General features: G+C 34.7%; 1 protein-coding gene across 8 annotated transcripts in view; it reads left to right on the top strand.

Annotated features, from left to right (window-relative positions):
* PLSCR4 (phospholipid scramblase 4) overlaps positions 1 to 22,192 on the top strand; it is a 58,771-nt gene that overhangs the window by 920 nt on the left and 35,659 nt on the right. The window lies entirely within an intron of this gene.

Below are 22,192 nucleotides of genomic sequence, written 5' to 3'. Positions count from 1 at the left end.
AGCTGTGAAATACTAGCAGCATTTCCATTAAATTTGAAAAAGACAAGAATGCTAATCATTACACTCTGTGACATGGTTGTGAATTCTATGGGCGAGTGACAACAGGTAGGGGAACATATTATCACTTTATGCATGATGTGAGTGTATACCTTAATGTCCATAGGAAACACTGAAATTTGATGGGAAGCATAAGTGAATTTATCAAAGTTTCCAATTGCATCATACTTAATTTATAGAAGTCAGTTGATGTTTATACATAAACTAGATAATACAGTAAAATAAAGTAAAATTCAGTTTGGCATGAAATAACACACAATTGAGAAATTATTTTTAAGAAGATATAAAAAGGTATGTATGAGAATCCAATAAAATACATAACATTCTTCTAGGTAAAGATATCATTTCTCTAAAACAACGTATAAGTAGAATCCTAACTGAATATTTTTGTTACTGTTTTTAACTGTACTGTTTAGCTCATGTGGAAGAACAAACATATTAACGTTATGTATAATATATTACAAATAATAAAATACAAAATATATAATTATGTCTTATTTTATATATTATATATGATTTTAACATTTAATATTATACATACACACATATATATAGTGGAGACTTCTTCATATAATAAAAGGTGTTACAAAACTGTGGTGATTAAAAGACAGTGCAGTAGACCTACTACCAGATGTGTAAATGAAACTGAAGAGACATGGAAGAATAAAAGGAAAGCTGGCATTTGATAAGCATACATTTTAAATCACTGGGTGGGAAGAAGAAATAACATTTAATTGAATGTACTTGGACAAGCAGGAATTTGTTTGGGAAACCTAATAATAAAACTGGAACTTTTCCTCACTGTTAATAGACAAATGTAGTCTAGATGGCTTACTAGTTTAAATCTAAACATATGCAGCCTAAAAAGGGAAAAAGAAAGCCTGAATAGATATTTGTGCACATTGCATGTGGGAAAAGCATTTCTAAGCATAATACAAAAACCTAGACCCATTTAGGGACATGATTTTTATTAACATTTGCATCCCCCAAAAAAGATACAAACTGCGGACATTGTTAATAGAAAAAAAAAGATAATTTTGCTAATATACCTAGAAATCTTATTAATGACCTTCAAAATCAATGACCCAGTTAAGGATAAAAAGAGTCAACTCAAAGCAAAAGAAATGCAAATAATAAGCAGAGTGAATACTGTTAGCCACACTAATTATCCAAAACATATATGAAGTAAGACATCAATTTTTGCATTAATTTTACAAATTTTGAAAGTCTGATAACTTTAGGTGTTGTTGAAAATGCAGTGAGGAAAATATAATTTTACAAACTTTTAGTGGAAATGTGAATTGGTGAAGCTGTTTTAGGGTTAAAGCTGTTCAGATTTACAAATGTTCATTTACTTAACTGGAATTTATCCAGCAAAACATGCTCCCAAGTGTACAAATAAAAATCTCTGTCAAAGATGTTTAAAGTAGGATTGTTTACAATGTAGAAAACATGGATACAGCTCTGTAGCCATTGATTGGGAATTGGTTACATAATGTATGGTATATTCAAAGGTGGAATAATATACAGTTTAAAACATTGTAGCTCTAAATGTTCTAACTTGGAAATATGTCCAAAACATAAAGTTAAAACACAAAATGAAACAACAAGTTGAAACACTGTGTGTGTGTGTGTGTGTCTGTGTGTGTGTAGTGTAGTAATTATATTTTTGTAAATAATTTGGAATATAGGCTGAATTATATTGTGAGTAGTGATGTTTTACACACAGCCGAATTATATTATTATGAGTAGTGATGTTGTTTTACACATTTCTATAATGTATGCGTGTGTATAAGGAAAAATTGATAGTGATAGTAATTTATACAGAACATTGCCTTCTTGAATATATTAGCTGTCATTTACTACAGAAGAAATATATTTCACAAAACCTTTCATATTGTCTCATTTTTTTTCTTTTATAAGTGTCCTCTTTCAGCTGCTTCCTTTAAAATCCCCTTCCTTAATATTGATGTTTATGATGTTTATTGCAAGAACAGCAGTGAAGAATTTTGCTTGAGGGATTTCACAACCAGTTAACTTTTATAAACAAAAAATACAGCAATGTTCATACTCATATGTTCACCAGCATTGTGCTAAAATTCATTTTTATAGTACTCATTCTTCAGGATGAAAGAGATAGATATGCTAGTCCTTAAAAAGAAAAACATCTAAAGTTGGAAAAAAATTGTTTTTAATTGCATGGTAAGGCTGGGTGGCGGTAGCTCACGCCCGTTATCACAGTACTTTGAGAGGCAGGGGTGGGCAGATTGTTTTAGCCCAGGAGTTTGAGAGCAGCCTGGGAAACATGGCGATACCCCACCTCTAAAAAAATTTAAAAATTAGCCAGGCATGGTGGCACCCACCTGTAGTGCCAGCTGCTCAGGAGGCTGAGGTAGGACAATTGATTGAGCCTGGGAGGTCAAGGCTGCAGTGAGCCATTATCATGCCACTGCACTCCAGCATGGGCAACAGAAAGAGACCCTGCCTCAAAAATAAAACTGCATGACAAAAATGCAGTGAAGACAAATGATAAGTTTTGAAAAGATAATTTTAATATAAAATTTTAATACCTTTCATATAAAGAAGACAAATGAAAAGCTAACAAAAATGAACAAATGACAAACAGGCAGTTCACAGAAATAGAGTTGCAAATTGCTTTCAAACAAATAATAAAAGTGGCTCAGCCTCCTCATTATGAGATATATGGAAAATAAAACCAATTTTTTTTTTTTATATATCAGATTGACTACTACAAAAATGTTGATAAAATACTGTATTAGGAATGTAACTTTTTGTCTGGGGTCTAAATTGATTCAAATTCTTTAGAGTGCAGTTTGATAGTATCTTTAAAAATGTACAAAACTTTGATCCATCAGTTCTGCTTCCAATAATTTAATGCACAGATCCACAGGAAGAAAATATTTTTTTCAGCATTTTTGGTAATAGCCTAAATTTGGAAACGATTTAACTTGTTGTCATTAGGCAGCCAGTTAAATACATTATGTTGCAGCCATTAAAAAGAATGAGGTTATATGGACTGAAATGTAATTAACATCAAGACATTTTAATAAATGAAAAGAAAAAGACACAGAAAAGTATATAGATGATTGCCATTTTATAAAAACTGTGTGTATTAGTTTATATATGCTTAGAAAATCTATTGGAGGAAAAAAAATCTAATGTCTGTGGTTGCCTTTTCAAATGGGAAATGGGAATTGGAGTAGGTGGGATTTTTTTGTATAAATGTATTGTGTAAATGTATGCACTGCCGACTCCTTGAATTATATTTGTGTTTGTTTGCACATAACATCTGTTTTTTAAAAGTCTGTTTTCATAAATGTAAAGTTTCTTATCAAAGTGACTTAACTGTATGCAACATGACATCTTGTTTTACTACAATTTTAAATACTAAAAGACTAGCTGTAAAATGACACAATGAGGCGTTCTTGGTAATCATAGTTGGCATGGTAATGTTTCCTTAATGTCTTATATAAACATCATGAGAATATTGTTCTGATATTTTTCTACTCTAAATAACAAAAACATTTCCCTTTTGAAAGCTAAAAAGGAGACACCTGATATTCTCTTTAAACAATTTGAACTAAATTAATATATTTAATAAAGGTTATGTATGGACTGTGGCTATCAATTTGCTTTCATTTAATCTTATCTTTTATTTTATATTAAAGCCAAATAGCTAACCTCCAAGATCCTTCACACTTGCTAAAAAGAATGAAATATTCTACCATACACTTTTTCTTTTGAAGGAGTCATGATGTTAATAAAATAATAAATATATTGATATAGGTTATAAAAACAACACAATAAAAATCTTAGGTTTTGCCCTTGTAATTTGTTGAACATTAATCACTCCCTAAGTTTCTTCTAGAATTGATTTTATGCAAAGATACAATTAAATACATATATGTTAACATGTAATTATAATGAAGATACTGTGTATCTATGGGACATTCCTGCTGCAGCATATTTTATCAACATGGACCTAGGTTTATCTTTTGTGCAAGCCTGGAATTCGTTTCTCTAATTTCAGCCCATGTGACAGAAACTTACTAAGTTTACAAGATGTCTACAGAAATGACTGAATCCTTCAGTCATTGGACTTTAATCCACTCATATTGAGCCCACTGAACTATCCAGTTCCCTATAGCCAAGAAACCCATAAAAGTAATTAACACAGTCCACCATAGGAGCCAAGAAATTTGGCTTAAAGTCTATAAAGAGGATTGTACTTGGAAAGGTGTGCATAATATTTCCTCTTTGATGAACATGCAGGTCTTTTTAGTTACAGATTCACTACAAGAGAGTACATTGTCAGGTTTTAAAAATTATTTTAAAAACTCAGTTTATATAATTTATTATACATTTATTGTAGAAAATTTAAAGAGGAAATGTTTATATCTTAGCATGTTTCCTCCAGTTTCCATATTTTTTAAAAACATTGCTATCATTATAATTATCCAGATTATATGTTTAACATTTGAATGTAAACATTTAATGATTTTTACAAAACTGTTACTATATTTTTAAAGGAAAATTATTTTATCATAATGTTTCATGATAATGTGTTTACTTAACAATTGTGCTTGATATTTATGTAGTTTACAATCACTACTATTTTCGTTTTGCATTCCTTCTGTGAAAATGAGAATGTATCACTTAAAAATATTATATGGCATATTTTGGATTTATTTTGAATTTGGTATAGAGGAAATTTACTTGGGTTTACAAATGAGATTTGAGAAAAAATAGATATGTCTTATATTGGTAAACTGAACATTTGATTGAATGTATTATGATTCCTACAGCAGATAGGTTTTTATCTGAATGGGGTAAAATTTCATAGATCTGTAACTGAGGGGGTGTGTGTTGGGGCCAGGAGGGGATATATTAAAATCATCTGGGAAATGGCTTCCATTTTCTTTCCTTATCCATAGAAGCAATGATCCTTTTAAGCTTTATCATGAGACTGCAACAATTCGGTAACATCTTCATGCTTCACTTCTAACTCTTAGTTCTCTTGCTATTCTCTCACATCTGCAGGTACTTCATCCAATGAAGTCTTGAACCACGCAAAATCATCCAGGAGGGTTGGAATCAACTTCTTCCAAGCTCCTGTTAATATTTATATTTTGACTTCCTCCCATGAATAACAAAAGTTCTTAGTGGTATCTAAAATGGTGAATCCTTTTTAGAAAGTTTTCAATTTACGTTGCCTAGATTCATCAGAGGAATCTAGGCCTAGCTTTTGGCCTGTCTTTGCTTTCAGCATGCCTTCCTCATTAAGCTTAATCTTTTCCAGCTTTTTGACTTAAAGTGAGAGATGCACGAACCTTCTTTTCACTTGAATATTTAGAGGCATTTGTAGGCTTATTAATTGGCCTAATTTCAATATTGTTTTGTCTCAGGGAATAGGGAGGTCCTAGAATAAGGGGAGAGATGGGAGAATAGTTGCTCTGTGGAGCAGTCACAACAACACTTACTAAGTTCACCATCTTATATAGGCATGGTTCATGGGGTCCCAAAACAATTATAATAGTAACATCAAAGATCACTGATCATAGATCACCATAACAGATTGTTATGAAAAAGTCTGAAATATTGTGAGAATTACCAAAATTTGACAAAGAGACAAACTGAGAAGTTGCTGTTCTGCAAAATGGCACTGATAGACTCCTTGATACAAGGATGCCACAAACCCTCAATTTGTTTAAAAAAATGGAGTATCTGTGAATCACAGTATAGCAAAGCACAGTAAAACAAGGCATGCATGTACATAATGAGGTATCTTGAGAATGGGACCCAAGTAAACATGAAATTCATGTTCCATTATGTTTTAAACATATAGCCTGAAGATAATTTTATACAATATTTTTGATAATGTTGTGTATGAAACGTTTACGTACGTTGAACCATCAGAAAGCAAAGGTATCAGTATCTCAATCACCCATGTGGACAATCTGTGGTTATTTGACGTCACCATCATTCCTGACTCTAAATTCATTATGCTACTGATAAGTAATCATTTTCTTACATTACTCACAAATAAGTGCTTAACAGTAAAAAATAGGATGTATCATTAGTACAGTGAAAAGAGAATGCGTTCAGGGTAACTAAGCAGCACAGTAGTATCTCCAGAATGCCTGTGTCGGAAAGCCACCAATAAGCAATGGCAGGCTTTCATTCTTTACCTACAATGCTGTATTTTGATTACAAGGTTATCATTCACTGAATTTTATTATTTTAAGTGAGAAGAAATATCAGAAGTAGCCAAGTGACCAGCAAGTGTTTTCTCTACAAATGAGGAAGCATTCTGATGGATGACTTTTCAGAATGTTTCCTCTGGAGTCCGCTGTCTCATTAACAATGGTTTTTGTCTTAGAAGTCTCTGTTGATTTTACAGACTGACACAATTTCTTATTCTGTGATGAATGAATGCTCTTAGAGTCCTTCAGTAAACCCATCACATATTTTCACCATGTCATCTATAGGCACTTTGCAGTTTTAACAGTGTCCTCATCATCTTTCACTTGTGACATCATGTTGGTGCTGAAAGTTTTGGATTTTTGAGCATTTCAGATTTTGGACTTTTGGATTAGGGTTGCTTAGTCTATACAGCATTTTATGTGCCCGAACTCTGCATGAATATTATAATCTTTTCTTAAAGTTAGAGATTGGTTCATCCTTTTTGTTCATTTCTTTGTTTTCAAGAATAAATGACAACACAGTTTTTGTTTTGCTTTCTATTTTTTTGTTTTTCAAGAGTTTTGGAGCATAGTCAGGATCATGATGATAAGAAAGAGATGTATATATGTAACAAACCTGCATGTTGTGCACATGTACCCTAAAACTTAAAGTATAATAAAAAAAAAGATGTATACAGTTGGTAGAGCATATTGTTAGCAGGAGTTTGAGAAGAGGGGTTTCAGTCAATTGAGAGATCCCCATGGAAGAAGCAGGATGAAATACAGATAACAGAACTAATTCTTACAAATTTTTTTTCTGAAAATGGTCCAAGTGTCAATTAGGAACTTTCCAGGTTTGATTTGAAACCCCCACCACAGAATTTGTTTTTCCTCCCTGAGAGATTGATGGGTTACTGTTTTGGGATTAAAGCCTTTGGGGGCTTTCTCTGGTGGAGAAATAGTTCAGACAAAAGGTAGTGGATCCATTAGATGGCTAATATAAAAGTGGACAATGTATTTTCCAGTTGCATGAGTGTTTACCATAAAGGCAGACATCTTGGGGCATAGGGTTCTTTATTTTGGGATCCTCTTGGGCCCTGTAGCCTTTACAACTGTAAAGACATAAACCTGTTTGCCTTTCGTAAGGAATTTTCCCACTGTAGCCATTCTAAGTTACTTTTGCTAAGGTTCTCCCATTCGTCTCGAAAAGCACAGGTTCTGGGTCTCTGGTTTTTATACATGAAGTTGGCTAGAATTCCAGAGGGCGAAGCTCTAGCAACCTTTGACCAGATAAACCCATGATTCTATGTCTTTTATTAACCTTTCCTACCTACTAACTGAGTTGAGTTTATGTCTGACCCAGTCAAATACCTGAGGCCTCCCTACTGGGCCCAGTCCTGTTGTTGGCATGACTTTGAAACCCAGTGTAGATCAAAAATGCTCAAACTCAGCTCAAATCAGAAGTTCATGAAGCTTAGATTCAAAAATCTCACCCATGACCCCAGTTGCTGCGAAAGAGCAGTGAGTACACTGGGCATGCTGGGTACCTTAACTTGGTCACTCAGTGCTCCTGGGATCACTGGAAGTTTGCTTCAAGATCTGACTTCTCATGTGAAACTCTTAAAAGAAAAACTTTAGGCAAATTCAGCAGAGTTTATCTGAGCGAAAAACGATTCATGAATCAGGCAGCCCTCAGAACCAGAAGAGTTTCAGAGAGCTCCACCGAGCAACATGGGCAGGCAGTATTCATAAACAGAGGAAAGAAGTGACGTACATAAATCAGTTGATTGGATCCAGCCTGGTATTTGCTTTATTTGGTCATGGTGTGATGAGGCATTTGCCTTCAACGGACATGGTCTGATCAGTTGACAGCCCGTGATTGGCTGAAGCTCCACTACCATCATTGGCTGAGACTCAGCTACTTGTTACAAGAATACAACCTCAAATCAAGTTGCAGTCTGCTATTTACAGAGGCAGCTTTAGGCCCAATTTAATTTATCAGGTTATGATTTAGATTACGTAGAAATGTGTTGTTTTATTTTTATGTGGTTAGAGAATTTCCTGTTATCTTGCGGTTAGTAATTCCTAGCTCATTACATTATGGTCGGAGAACAAGCTGTATTATTTTAATTTTTTTGTAATATTTTAAGATTTGTTTTATGAGCCAGAATGTGGTCTGTCTGGGTGAATGTTCCGTACGTTGAAAATAATGGTTATTCTAATGCTGTTGGGTGGGTGTCCTACAAATGTCAGTGTTGGTTGATGATGCTGTCTAGTTGTGCCAATATCATTGCTGATTTTTCCTCTGCTTGTTCTTGTAGATTACTAAGAATGGAGTGTAAAAGTCCTCAACTGTAACTGTGGATTTCTCTTTATTTTTTTCAATTTTGCCAGTTTTTCCTTCATGTATTTTGAAGCTCCATTGTTAGGATCAGTCATGCTTAGGATTGCTGTATCTTGTTAAGAAATTGTCTCTTACTTTTAAGTGATAGCCCTTCTTATCTCTGGTAATTTTCTTTGCTCTGAAATCTACTTGTGAGATATTAGTATAACCACTCCAGCTTTCTTTTTCTCTGTAATGACTTTGTTGAGACATAATTCACATACCATAAAATTCACCCATTCAAAGTGTACAGTTGAGTGATTTTTAGTATATTCAGAGTTGTGAAGCTATCACCACAATCTAATGTTAGAATAATTTCATAATTCCAAAAAGAAACCCATGCCCAATAACAGTCATTTCCCATCTTCTTGAAGCCACAAATCTACTTTATGCCTTTATAAACTTGCCTATTCTGGATAGTTCACATCAGTAGAATCATGTACTATATGGTTTTTTTGGTGACTGACTTCTTTCTAGTAGTGTAATGTTTTCAAGGTTCATCCAGGATATAGCATGTATAGCCATACAAAATTACTTTGTATGGCTGAGTCATATTTCATTGTAGGGATATTTAAAAATTGATCAGTTTACCGATTGATGGATATTTGAATTGTTTCTATTTGTTGGCTATTATGTGTAATGCTATTATGAACATGTTTTTGTGAAGGCATTTATTTTCATTTCTCTTAGGTATATACCTAGAAAGAAATTACTAGAGGACATGGTTAACTGTATTAACCATAATGAAACTCTATGTTTAATCTTTTGAGGAACTGCCAGACTGATTTTCAAAGCAGCTTTAACATTTTACATTCCTCAGCGACATATGAAGGTTTCGATATCTACATATCTCTCCTAAAACGTGTTGTTATATTTTTTATTATAGTCATCTTACTAGGTGTGAAGAGTATCTAATTGTAGTTTTGTTGTTATTTTTCAAGAGACAGGATCTTGCTCTGTCACCCAGGCCAGTATGCAGACACAGTCATAGCTCAGTGCAGCCTCGAACTCCTGGTCTCAAGAAATCCTCCCACATCAGCCTCTCCTGTAGCTGGGACTACGGGTACATGCCACCTTGCTCAGCTAATGTTTATTTTTTCGTAGAGACGGGGTCTCATGATGTTACCCGGGTTTCTAACTCCTAACCTTAAGGAATCCTCCCACCTTGGCCTCCCAAAGTGTTGAGATTACAGGCATGAGCCACTATGACCGGCCTTAATGCCTTAATTAGTTTTGATCCGCATTTTTTTTAATGATCAGTGATATTGAGAATATTTTTATGTGCTTATTGGCTATTCATATATCTTCTTTGGAGAAATGTGCAAATTCTTTGGCCATTTTTCAATTGAGATGTCTTTATTTTTGAGTTGGAGTATTCTTTATTTTGGACAAAAGTCTCTCAGATAAATGGTTTGAAAATATTTTATCTCATTCTGTGGGTTCTGTTTTCATTTTCTTGATGATGTCCTTTGAATTACAAACCTTTTAAATTTTTATGAGTCCAATTTATTTATTTATTTATTTTTGTTGCTTTTACTATTGATGTCATATCAATGAAACCATTGCCTAACCCAATGTCATGAAGATTTACTCCTGCGTTTTCTTCTAACATTTATTAGCTTTATCTTTTGCATTTAAGTATTTTTTTTTTCTTTTTTTGAGATAGAGTTTCACTCTTGTTGCCCAGGCTGGAGTGCAATGGTGCAATCTCGGCTCAGAGCAACCCCCACCTCCCGGGTTCAAGTGATTCTCCTGCCTCAGCCTCCCAAGTAGCTGGGATTACAGGCATGTGCCACCATGCCCAGCTGTTTTTGTATTTTTAGTAGAAGTGGGGTTTCTCCGTGTTGGTCAGGCTGGTCTCGAACTCCCAACCTCAGGTGATTCTCCTGCCTTGGCCTCCCAAAGTGCTGGGATTACAGGCATTAGCCACCGCATCTGGCCTGCATTTAAGTTTATAATATACTTTGATTAATTATTTGTATTGGGTATTGTAGGGGTCCAAGTTTTTTTTTTTTTTTTTTTTGTATGTGGATGTACAATTGTCTCAGCACTATTTGTTGAAAAGACATTTCCTTCCCCTGTTGGTATCCTTGTCAAAAATCAATTACCCATAAATGCAAAGATTTGTTTCTGGATTCTCATTTCTGTTCCTTTGGTCTATATGTCTATTCTTTGGACCAATGCCATACTGTTTTGATTGCAGTACATTTGTAGTAAGTTTTGAAAGCAGGAAGTCTGAGTTTTCCATTTTTCATTTGCTTCCAAGATTGTTTTGGCCTTTATGGGACCCTTTTATTTCTATAAGAACTTTGTATTCAGCTTGTTAGTTTCTGGAAAAAGGCAACTTGTATTTTGATAGTGATTTTGTTTCATCTGTAGATAAATTTGGGGAGTATTGCTATTTTAACAATATTAAGATGAACTTGGGATATCTTTTATTTAGATCTTCTTTAATTCTTTCAACATTTCATGGTTTTCAGTGTACAAGCCTTGCACTTTTTAATTAAATTTATTTCTAGGTGTTTTATTATTTTTGGTACTATTATAAATGTAATTGATTTCCTGCATTGTTCATTGCCAGGGTATAGAAATACAATTGATCTTTGTATAATGGTCTTGTATCCTGCTGCATTGATGAACTTGTTTATGCTTCCTTTTTAATGAATTCCTTAGAAACTTTGATATGACTTTAAAAATGTCACATTATTTCTATTTCAGATGGCTTTATTTCTTTTTTCTAACCTAATCACTCTGGGTAGAACATCCAGTACAATGTTGAAAAGAAATAGTAACAGTACATACTCTTGTCTTGTTTTGGTCTTAAGGGAAAGCATTTAGTCTTTCTCTGTTGAGTATGACATTAGCTGTGGAGTGCTTCACAAGTTTCTTACGAGATCAAGAAAGTTCTATATTTCTAGATTGTTGAGTATTTATTGTTTTTATCAATAAAGAGTAGTGGATTCTTTTGAATATTTTTTCTGTCATCTATTGAGATTACATAGTTTTTGTCCTTTATTTTATTACCATGATATATTCATTGATTGAGGTTTTTTTTGTTTGATAAACCATTTTATTACTACAATAAATCCCACTTGGTCATGGTGTATTGTGGTATATTGTGGATTCAGTTTTCAAGTATTTTGTTGAGAATTTTTGTGTCAGTATTCTTCATGGTTATTAGTGTAGTTTTGTTGTGTTGTCTTTACCTAATTTTGATATAAGGGTCATACTGAAATAAAATAAGTTTTAGAAGAGTTTGCGAAGGGTTGATATTCATTCCTTATTAAGTATTTGGTAGAATGCACAAGTAAATCATCTGTACCTGGGTTTTTTTTTTTGTGGGAAGTTTTTTTGGTTACTAATTTAGCCTCTTATTACAGTTCTATTCAGGTTTCCTGTTTCTTCTTGAGTCAGTTTTGGTAGTGTCTGTCTTCTAGGAATTTGTCCATTTCATCTACTGTATCTAATTGGCATATGGTAGTTTGTAGTATTCCCCTATAATCCTTTTTTCTTTTCAATGTAAGGTTAGTATTAATATGGCTCTTTTCATTCATTATTTTGGTAATTTGAATCTTTTCTCTTTTTCTTTATTAGTGTATCCAAAAGTTTGTCAGTTTTGATCTTTTCAAAGCAACAATTTTTAGCTTTTTTGATTTTCTTTTTTATTCTCTATTTTATTTATTCCTACTCTAATCTTTATTTCTTTCCTTTTTCTTGCTTTGGTTTTAATTTGCTCTTTAAGACATATTTTACAGAGAAAGATTATGTTATTTATTTAAGAGCTTTATTCTTTAAAATTATTTTTATTTACAACTATAAATTTGCCTCAAAACATTGCTTTGGCTGTACTTCATAAGTTTGTGGCCTTTTGTCTTTTCATTGTGAATTTTCATTGTGATTTTTTTGCCAACCCATTGCTTATTAAAGAGACTTGTTTAATATCCACATATTTTGAATTTCCTCAACTTTTTTCTATTGTTGATTTATAATTTAGTTTTCCATTGTGTTCAGATAATATTTTATATGATTTCAGTTTTTAAAAATTTATTGAGGCTCATGTTATAGCCTAATGAATGTTATATCTTGGAGAATGTTTCATATGCACTTGAAAATCAGGTATTCTGCTATTGTCAGTTACAGTGTTACATAGATAATTATAGATCTAATTGGTTCATAATGTATGTGTATTTCCCATCAATTTCATCAGTTTTTGATTGTGTATTTTCAGGCTGTATTGTGATGTGCACATAAGTATGTAATTGTTATATCTTCCTGATAGATTAATTTTTTCTTCTCTTTATGAAATATTCTTCTTAGTCTTCAGTAATAGTTTTTGTCTTAAAGTTTTATTTGTATAAGATTAGTATAGCCACTGCAGCTCTTCTTTGGTTAACACAAAGTACACCTCTTTCCTTTTTCGACCTGTTTGTCTTTATAAATTGTGTCTCTTGTATATGACGTATAGTTGGATCATGTTTTCTCTCTTTTTTTTCTTTTCTTTTTTTAATCCATTCTGCCAGTCTCTACCTTTTGATTGGATTGTTTAATCCATTTACATTTAAGGTAATTACTGGTAAGGTAGGAACTATATCAGATGTTTTACTACTTGTTTTCTATATGTCTTACATTCTTTCTTCTTATTAGTGTATACATGGTATATCTTTCTTAGCCTTTCTTCTTTAACCCTTTTCTCTTTCATCTTTCTCTACCTTATCATTTCATTTGAAGTTAGTTTCTTTTAGAGAGCATGTAATTGAGTCTGTATTAGTCCATTTTCACGCTGCTGATAAAGACATACCTGAGATGGGGCAATTTACAAAAGAAAGCGGTTTAACGGTCTTACGGTTCCACATGACTGGGGAGACCTCACAATCATGGTGAAGGCAAGGAGGAGCAAGTCACATCTTATGTGGATGGTGGCAGGCCAAGAGAAGAGCTTGTGCAGGGAAACTTCCCCTTATGAAACCATCAAATCTCATAAGACTTACTCATTATCAGAAAAGCAGCACAGAAAAGACCTGCCCCCACGATTCAGTTACCTCCCACTGGGTCCCTCCCACAACACCTGGGAATTCAATATGAAATTTCGGTGGGGACACAGCCAAACAATATCAGAGTCATTTAAAAAAATATGCATTTAACTATTCTGTTAACCTCAGTCTCTTTGTTTATACGCTTAGTACATGATTTTAAATGTAAATATTGATATGTTTGAATTTTTGCATGCTTGCTCTCCTTTCTGTTCTTCTTTATCTCATTTTGATTTTATTGATGACTCTGGGGACCTCCTAAACCTCCAGTCCTATGATGGAAGGGGCTGCCTCAAAGGTCTCTGAGATGCCTTCAAGGCATTTTTTCCCATTGTCTTGGCTAGTAGCAATTTCCTTCCTTCTAGTTATGAAATTTCTCAAGATTGCTTGAATTCCTCCCCTGAAAATGGTTTTTTTTTCTACCACATGGCTGGGCTGCAAATTTTCCAAACTTTCATGCTCTGCTTCCCTTTTAAATATAAGTTCCAGTTTTAGGTCATTTCTTTGCTCACACGTATGAGCACAGGTTATTAGAAGCAGCCAGGCCACATCTTGATGTTTTGCTGCTTAGAAATTTCTTCTGCTAGTTACCCGAAATCATCATTCCCGAGTTCAAAGTCTCACAGATCTCTAGGGCAGGGGCACAGTGCAGCCAATTGCTTTGTTAAGGAACAGAAGTACCTTTGCTCTAGTTGCCAATAAGAAGTCTGTCATTTCCCTCTGAGACTGCATCATCCTGGACTTCATTGTCCATATCACTATCAACAATTTGGTCACAACAATTTAACAAGTCTCTAGGAAGTTTCAATATTTCCCTCATCTTCTTCTTTTCTTCTGAGCCCTCCAAGCTGTTTCAACCTCTGCCTGTTACCCAGTTCCAAAGCTGCTTACACATTTTCAGGTATCTTTATAGCAGTGCCCCACTCCTCGGTACCCATTTTCTGTATTAGTCCATTCTTGCACTGCTGTAAAAAAATACCTGAGACTGGGTAATTTACAAAGAAAAAGAGTTTAATTGGTTCACACTTCCACAAGCTGTACAGGAAGCATGATGCTGGCAATCTGCTTGTCTTCTGGGGAGGCCTCAGGAAACTTACAGTCATGGCAGAAGGCAAATGGGGAGCCAGAACTTCACATGGCTGGAGCAGGTGGAAAAGAGAGATGGGAGAGGTACCATACACTTTTAAACAACTAGATGTCACGAGAACTCATCACAAGAACAGCACTAGGGAGATGGTGCTAAACCATTAGAAAGCACCCCCATCACCCAGTCACCTCCCACCAGGCCCAACCTCCAGCATTGAGGATGACATTTCAACATGAGATTTGGGTGGGGACACAGAGCTGAACCATATCATCATCTTTGGATTTTCTTTTTCCACATCAGTGGAGGTTTTTCTGGTTCTTTCTGAACTATAATTCTATATTGTGTTGTAGTCATTTTGCATATTATTTTATGAGATTCTGAGTATTACCGAAATGCCATGGAGCTAATTGATTTTCTTATTGTTTTGGCAGGCAGTTGATCCACTTGGATTGAGGCCAAAAGTTCTGGCCAGCCTTTTGTGAGTTATGATTTCAATGTCAGTTAGTTTAATATTCAAAGTCTTTGCCATGATATTTAGATCTCTTTAGTGTGTGCACAACCCTTGGCCAGTCTGAGACCTGAGCAGTCATCTCTTTTGTATCAGTTTTAAAGTCTTTGTTAGGATCAGATGCTTAGGATCAGATCCATGCATTCATTTCTCCTGGATTAGCTGAGGAGTTCATAAACAACTTTATAGGGACAATCCCAAGCTGCATCTTCTCCATGATCTCCTTGCTACTTACCCATTTTCTGGGTCTCTCCTATTTTGTTTTTCAGCCAGAAAAAAAATGAGGTTTTATTTACCCTTTTCATCTCTGTGTGTCCCCCAAATTCATTTGCATTCAAGGCCAAGTCACAGGAAGGCAGAGAGAAAAAAAAGGGAACAGGGTGTACCCCATTCTTTTGGAGTCACAGCTGCTTGTGTCAAGAGGTAGATTTCTTTCCTTTAGTGTTTTCCACACCTGTGGGCCTTCTCTGATAAAATTACTGCTTTCTCCACAGTGAGACTTCCAGGATCTGGGACATGACAGAATGGAGAAAATAAAAAAAATTTTTTAAAAACTGTGAATTTTCCAGCTGTTTTTGAGCTTTAGGGATGCTCATTCCCCTGCTCAAGCCAGAAGTAGAGGGCTTCTCCTGGAGCTGTCTCTGCATCTAGTGTCTACTACTATGTTTCAGGATGCCTTGAACCAGTATTGGGCCAGGGATACCAGAGAAAAATGTGAAGCTTACTCTGGTTTGATTGTACTTTTTCTGGTCTTCTGTTTCATGTTCTTTCTACTTTTTAATTTCCAGGGTCTTCAAATAGCTGTTCATTCATTCTGTTTAGGTTAATTGTATTTAGTGGGAGAGACAGGTTGGTATCAGTTTACTGCATGTTATCCATAACTGGAACATATGACCTATTATGTTTTTTGGGTTTTTTAGTTCATGGGTAATTTCTCTTCGAACTATATTTCAAAACCCTTACCGAGTGGAATTTGAAAAAGAACACAGCAGAACAGCCTACTTTCCCATTATAGGGTATAGTAGTGAGGTGTGCTTGATAGTTTGAAAGCAACAGGAGGGTGATGGGGTATGAAGGAGAAGGCAGCAACTATATAGAAGGTAATTTTCAGTAGGGTTTGTTTTGTAGAATACTAAGTTGGCCTCTGATGCTGGTTTTTTGAACTGTAGTTTCCAGGTTATAGAGCTATAACCTTGAACAGATTGCTTAAACTCTGTGGGCTTCTGTTTCCTGGCCTGTATAATGAAACCATAATATTCACCTCTGTCAGCATATATGAAGTTCCTGACACATCATAGATGTTTACTAATTCATATCTAAAACTTAAAGAAACTGAGAGTTTAAAATATAGCAGGTCATTTGGAGTCATAATCAGTAGGTAATCCTTAACATCTTTATAGCCAGCTGCTCCTTTAAAAAATGCCTTAAAACTTCTCTAAAAAATATTAGAAATTTTCATTTATAAGAATCCCCATTTTCCGTGGGGCCCCATTCAAGTTAGCTTTAAATTGAAATGTAACAACAGTTATCTGTTCAAAAATTTTGAAATATGACTGTTTTACCTACCTTTTCTAGTGTTGTGGTTTGGTGATATGTTAAAAATAATTTAACATATTAAATAACATTGTGATATGTTAAAAATAATTTAACATATCCAGTTATTTCTACATAGCAGGGTTCCCAATATAGTATGTGGCCGAGAGAATTATATTTTGTAATCTATATTATTAGCAGAACAATGAAATAATATAGATAAATGCAAAAATGACAAAATTTGTAAATTCAAAGGAACTATCTCCCATGTAAATTCACTAATGATAAAAAAGCTTTTAAAGAATTGAAACTTAAAAATATAAAGCATTGTTTTTGTCAAAGAAATTGATGTATGTAAACTTCATCAGTCTTGTGGTACATCATCATCCAGAATTTATAGGTAGTCAAATACAGGGAAACAAAAGTATGTCCAGAGATGTGGAAGCATAATTCAAGCTTGTAATGTAGATTTTCTTAAAGGATGTAGTATAAGTTTGCACACAGTAAAAAACCTCTTTAGGCAATGTTTATTGGGTACCTACTATATGCAGACATGACTCTATGTACTCCAAATTGGAAGAGAGGAAGTCAAACTATCTTCACAGATCATATGATTCTGTACCTAGAAACTGCCATGGTCTTTGCCCAAAGGCTCCTAGAACTGATAAACAACTTCAATAAAGTTTCAGGATACAAAATCAGTGTAAAACAATCAGTAGCATTTCTATACACCAGTAATGGCCAAACCAGGAACCAAATCAAGAATGCAATACCATTCACAATAGCTACAAAAAGAACAAAATATCTAGGAATACAGCTAACTGCGGAGGTGAAAGATTTCTACAGTGAGAATTACAAAACACTGCTGAAAGAAATCAGAGATAACATAAAAACATGGAGAAACATTCCATGCCCATGGATAGGAAGAATCAATACCATTAAAATGGCTCTACTGCCCAAAGCAATGTACAGATTCAATGGTATTCCTATCAAACTACCAATGTCATTTTTCACAGAATTAGAAAGATATGATTCTGAAATTCATATGGAACAAAAGGAGTGCAAATAGCCAAAGCGATCCTAAACAAAAAGAAGAAAGCCAGAGGCGTCACACTATCTGACTTCAAACTGTATTATAAAGCCACAGTAACTAAAACAACATGGTTCTAGTACAAAAACAGACATATGGAACAACAGAATAGAAATAAAGCTGCACACTTACAACCATCTGATTTTTAACAAAGTCAACAATACCAAGCAATGGGGAAAGACTTCCTGTTCAATAAAAGGTGCAGGGATAACTGGCTAGCCATATGCAGAAGACTGTAACTGTACACCGTCCTTTCATCATATACAAAAATCAACTCAAAATGGATTAAAGACTTAAATGTAAGACCTAAAACTATAAAATCCCTAGAAGAAAACCTAGGACATACCATTCTGGATGTAGGCCTTGGCAAACATTTTGTGATTAAGTCTCCAAAAGCAATTGCAACTAAAACAAAAATAGACAAGTGGCACCTAATTAAACTAAAGAGCTTTTACAGAGTAAAAGAAACTATCAACAGAGTAAATAGACAACCTACAGAATAGGAGAAAATATACAAACTGCACATCTGACAAAGGTCGAATATTCAGAATCTGTAAGGAATTTAAACAAATCAACAAGTGAAAAACAACCCCATTAAAAAATGGGCAAAGGTTATGAATAGACATTTTTTAAAAGAAGACATAAACATGGTCAACAGGCATAAGAAAACAGGGTCAGCATCAGTAATCATCAGAGAAATGCATATCAAAACCACAATGATATACTATCTCATAGCAGTCAGAATGGCTATTATTAAAATGTCAGAAAATAATAGATGTTGGTGAAGTTACAGAGAAAAAGGAATGCTTATATACTGCTGGTGGGAATGTCAATTAGTTCATCCACTATGGAAAGCAGTTTGGAGATTCTAATAGAATTGAAAACGGAACTAGCATTTGACCCAGAAGTCCCATCACTGGGTACATACCAAAAGGAATGTAAATTGTTCTACCAAAAAGATACATACACTTCTATATTCATTGCAGCACAATAGCAACAACATGAAGTCAACCTAGTTGCCCATCAGTGATGTACTGGATAAAGAATATATGGTACATATACTCCTTGGAATACTATGCAGCCTTAAAAAAGAAGGGAATCATGTCCTATATAGCAACATGGATGCAGTTGGAGGCCATCATCCTAAGGGAATTAACACAAGAACAGAAAACCAAATACTGTATCTTCTCATTTATAGTGGGAGCTAAACATTGAGTACACATGGAAACAATGAGGAGAACAATAGACACCAATGCCTTCTGGAGGGCAGAAGGTGGGAGGAGGGTAAGGGTTAAAAAACTACCTGTCAGTTACTGTGCTCATTACATATGTGATGAAGTCATTTGTACACCAAACCCTATTGACACGTAATTTAGCCATGTTACAAACCTGCACTTGTTCACCCTGAACCTAAAATAAAAGTTAAAAAAGGAAAAATAATAACAAAGGACTACACCATTAAAACATGTCTTAAATTTCTTCCTTTATGGAGCTTATCTTCTAGCTGAAGCGTCCATCCAATTTAATTCTCTTTAAGGTTCTTACCTCTTTAAAACTGTTTACCCTTTTACTGCTGCGAATTTTCTTCCTCCTGTCCCTCTCCTTTCCCTCTCTCATTGTCCTTACCAGGAGGCTCCCTCTCCACTTTCCCACCTCTTCTGCTCCTCCTCGCTCTCTCTGTTACACAGCAACATGTCCAAGCAACAAAGAGACAATAGTATTTCCTTTTTGGTCCAGTGACTTTGTTGGGCCATAGTAGGATGGCAAAGACCCCAACACTCCCTTTCATAAATATGATCTCCCCTTGAGCCACTTTCCAGGGAGGAATGTGATCAGTTCACAATATGTTTTTAAGAATTTTTATTATTATCCCTGCATGCATACACATAGAAACACAAACCTGCACAGACACACATAGGAAATCCACCAAAATTTTAAGAATAGTTATTTTGAGAAAGTTGAATTAAGGGTATAGTCACATTTTTATACTTTTATTTCTTGATTTTCTAAAAAGGAAAACATACTACTTTTGTAATCAGAAATATGTATGTATGTGTATGTACCGTTGTAACCATTACACAATTACTATTATTATTATTTTTTAGCAATCTAAGTACAGTATTGCAATTCAGTCTGACTCTAAACACCCAGAATTTGCAACTCCACAGGCTTAGGGGCCTACTTCCTAACAAGACTGCCTTCACTTCAGACAGGTTTGAGGATTTCCAGGCCACTCACACTTCTGACCAACTAGCTACAAATTCATATGTTCTCATCAACCCCTCAGGTATGATCATTTCCTAGAATGACTCACAGAACTCAAGAAAGTGCTCTACTTACAATTAACATTTTATTATAAAGGATAAAAATTGGCTAGGTGCAGTGGCTCATGCCTGTAATCCCAGCACTTTGGGAGGCTGAGGCGGGTGGATCACGAGGTCAGGAGATCGAGACCATCCTGGCTAACATGGTGAAACCCCATCTCTACTAAATATGCAAAAAATTAGCCAGGCGTGGTGGCGGGCGCCTGTAGTTCCAGCTACTTGGGAGGCTGAGGCAGGAGAATGGCGTGGACCCGGGAGGCGGAGCTTGCAGTGAGCCAAGATTGCACCACTGCACTCCAGCCTGGGTGACAGAGCGAGACTCCATCTCATAAATAAATAAATAAATAAATAAATAAATAAATAAATAAATAAATAAATGAAAAATAAAATGATAAAAATCAGGACCAGTCAGTTGTGGAGATCCATGGGATGAGACCTAGGAGGGTCATGAACACAAAGCTTTCATGCCTTCTCTCTGTGGGGTTAGGATTCATCACATTCCCAGCACATTGATGTGTTTACCAACCAGGAAGCTAACTAGAGTCAGGTTTTTTATGGGGATTTTATTATACTGGCATGACTACTTGAATTATTGGCTTCATGGATTGAACTCAGTCTCAAGGCCCCCACCCCCCTGGAGGTCAGGCAAATATGATGTTACTCAAAGCTCCAATTCTCTAATCACATCATGATTCTTTCTGGCATGATCGGCCTCCCTATTATGTTGCCACCTTAGCAAAATCTCAGGTAAGGTCCAAGGGCCCACCAAGGAAAACAGAAACACTGCTATTACTTGCAAATTCCAAGAGTTTAGAAATTGCTTTCCCGGAACCCAGGGCAAAGACCAGAATAATTCTCTATTATGCAATACTAAGTTATATGTAACAACTAAAATTGATTAGCTTTTACTTTCTATGGAGATAGAAGAAAATAGTTAATACATCAGACATTTAGGAACATCTAGTAGATACCTCTTTTTAAAGCAAGGTGTATACATTTTCTTAGACCTATTAGCACTTATATTCACCCAGCCTAGGTACTTGTGATATATTAGAGGGTTTATAAAATTTAAACATTTAAAGAATATTTATATTTTTATTTAATTTCATAAAGACTTTCTTATAAATAAAATGTTTTATTCTAATCACTTACACATATATTAGTTCAGTTGCATCTTATACCATGAAGTACTGTACTAATACAGACAAATACTCAATTTTTGTAGTACAAAATTATGAAAACTCAATATTTATATGTTGATAGAATGAACACTATATTCTTTTAATTTTTGGAATATGTCATTAATATAATCTTAATTTTCTGATCTTTTTAAAGTTTACTACAAGATACATCCATCATCTGAATAATATAAGTATTGTCACTATCCTGAACTGAAAGCAAATTTTTTAGCCTCTTAAGGTGTACCCTAGCTCATTTGTCTTTCATTTAGCTGCAAATAGGAAAACCCCTTTGGCAATGTCTCCGTTTTTTTTTTCTCCCCACTCCTTCCACTTTGAAATTCATACAAACAATGCTCATGAAATCCCATTTGCTAGAACATTACTGGATATAGAAGATGGGAATTAGTGGTGTCAGCTCAGAACCCAGAGTAGAATCTTACATATGGATGCTCAGTAATACATGCTGAGTTGCTGACTGGCAGACAGATTTTTAAAAATACTGCTGTTAAACACACACATTTATTCTTGGTCTCTTCATCAGTATGTCTTACTAGTGAAATAGTAGTAATAATGCAAGTTTATTGAGGATTTTTTATATGGCAGGCACTGTTTTAAGTGCTATACAAATGTAATTGTTTTAGTCTTCACAGTATTTCTATGAGGTTGATCCAGCCATCATCATCCCCATGATTAACAGGATAACCTAAGAACAGACCAGTCATTCAGGATTACACAGCCATCAGAGAAAGATCTGAGATTTGAACCCACTCTGGACCACTGTCCATACTGTCTGAAG

Source organism: Homo sapiens, chromosome 3, assembly GCF_000001405.40.
Source record: "Homo sapiens chromosome 3, GRCh38.p14 Primary Assembly".
NCBI lineage: Eukaryota > Metazoa > Chordata > Mammalia > Primates > Hominidae > Homo > Homo sapiens.
Note: the sequence above shows the minus strand (reverse complement) of the source record. Positions and strands in the feature narration are given on the sequence as shown.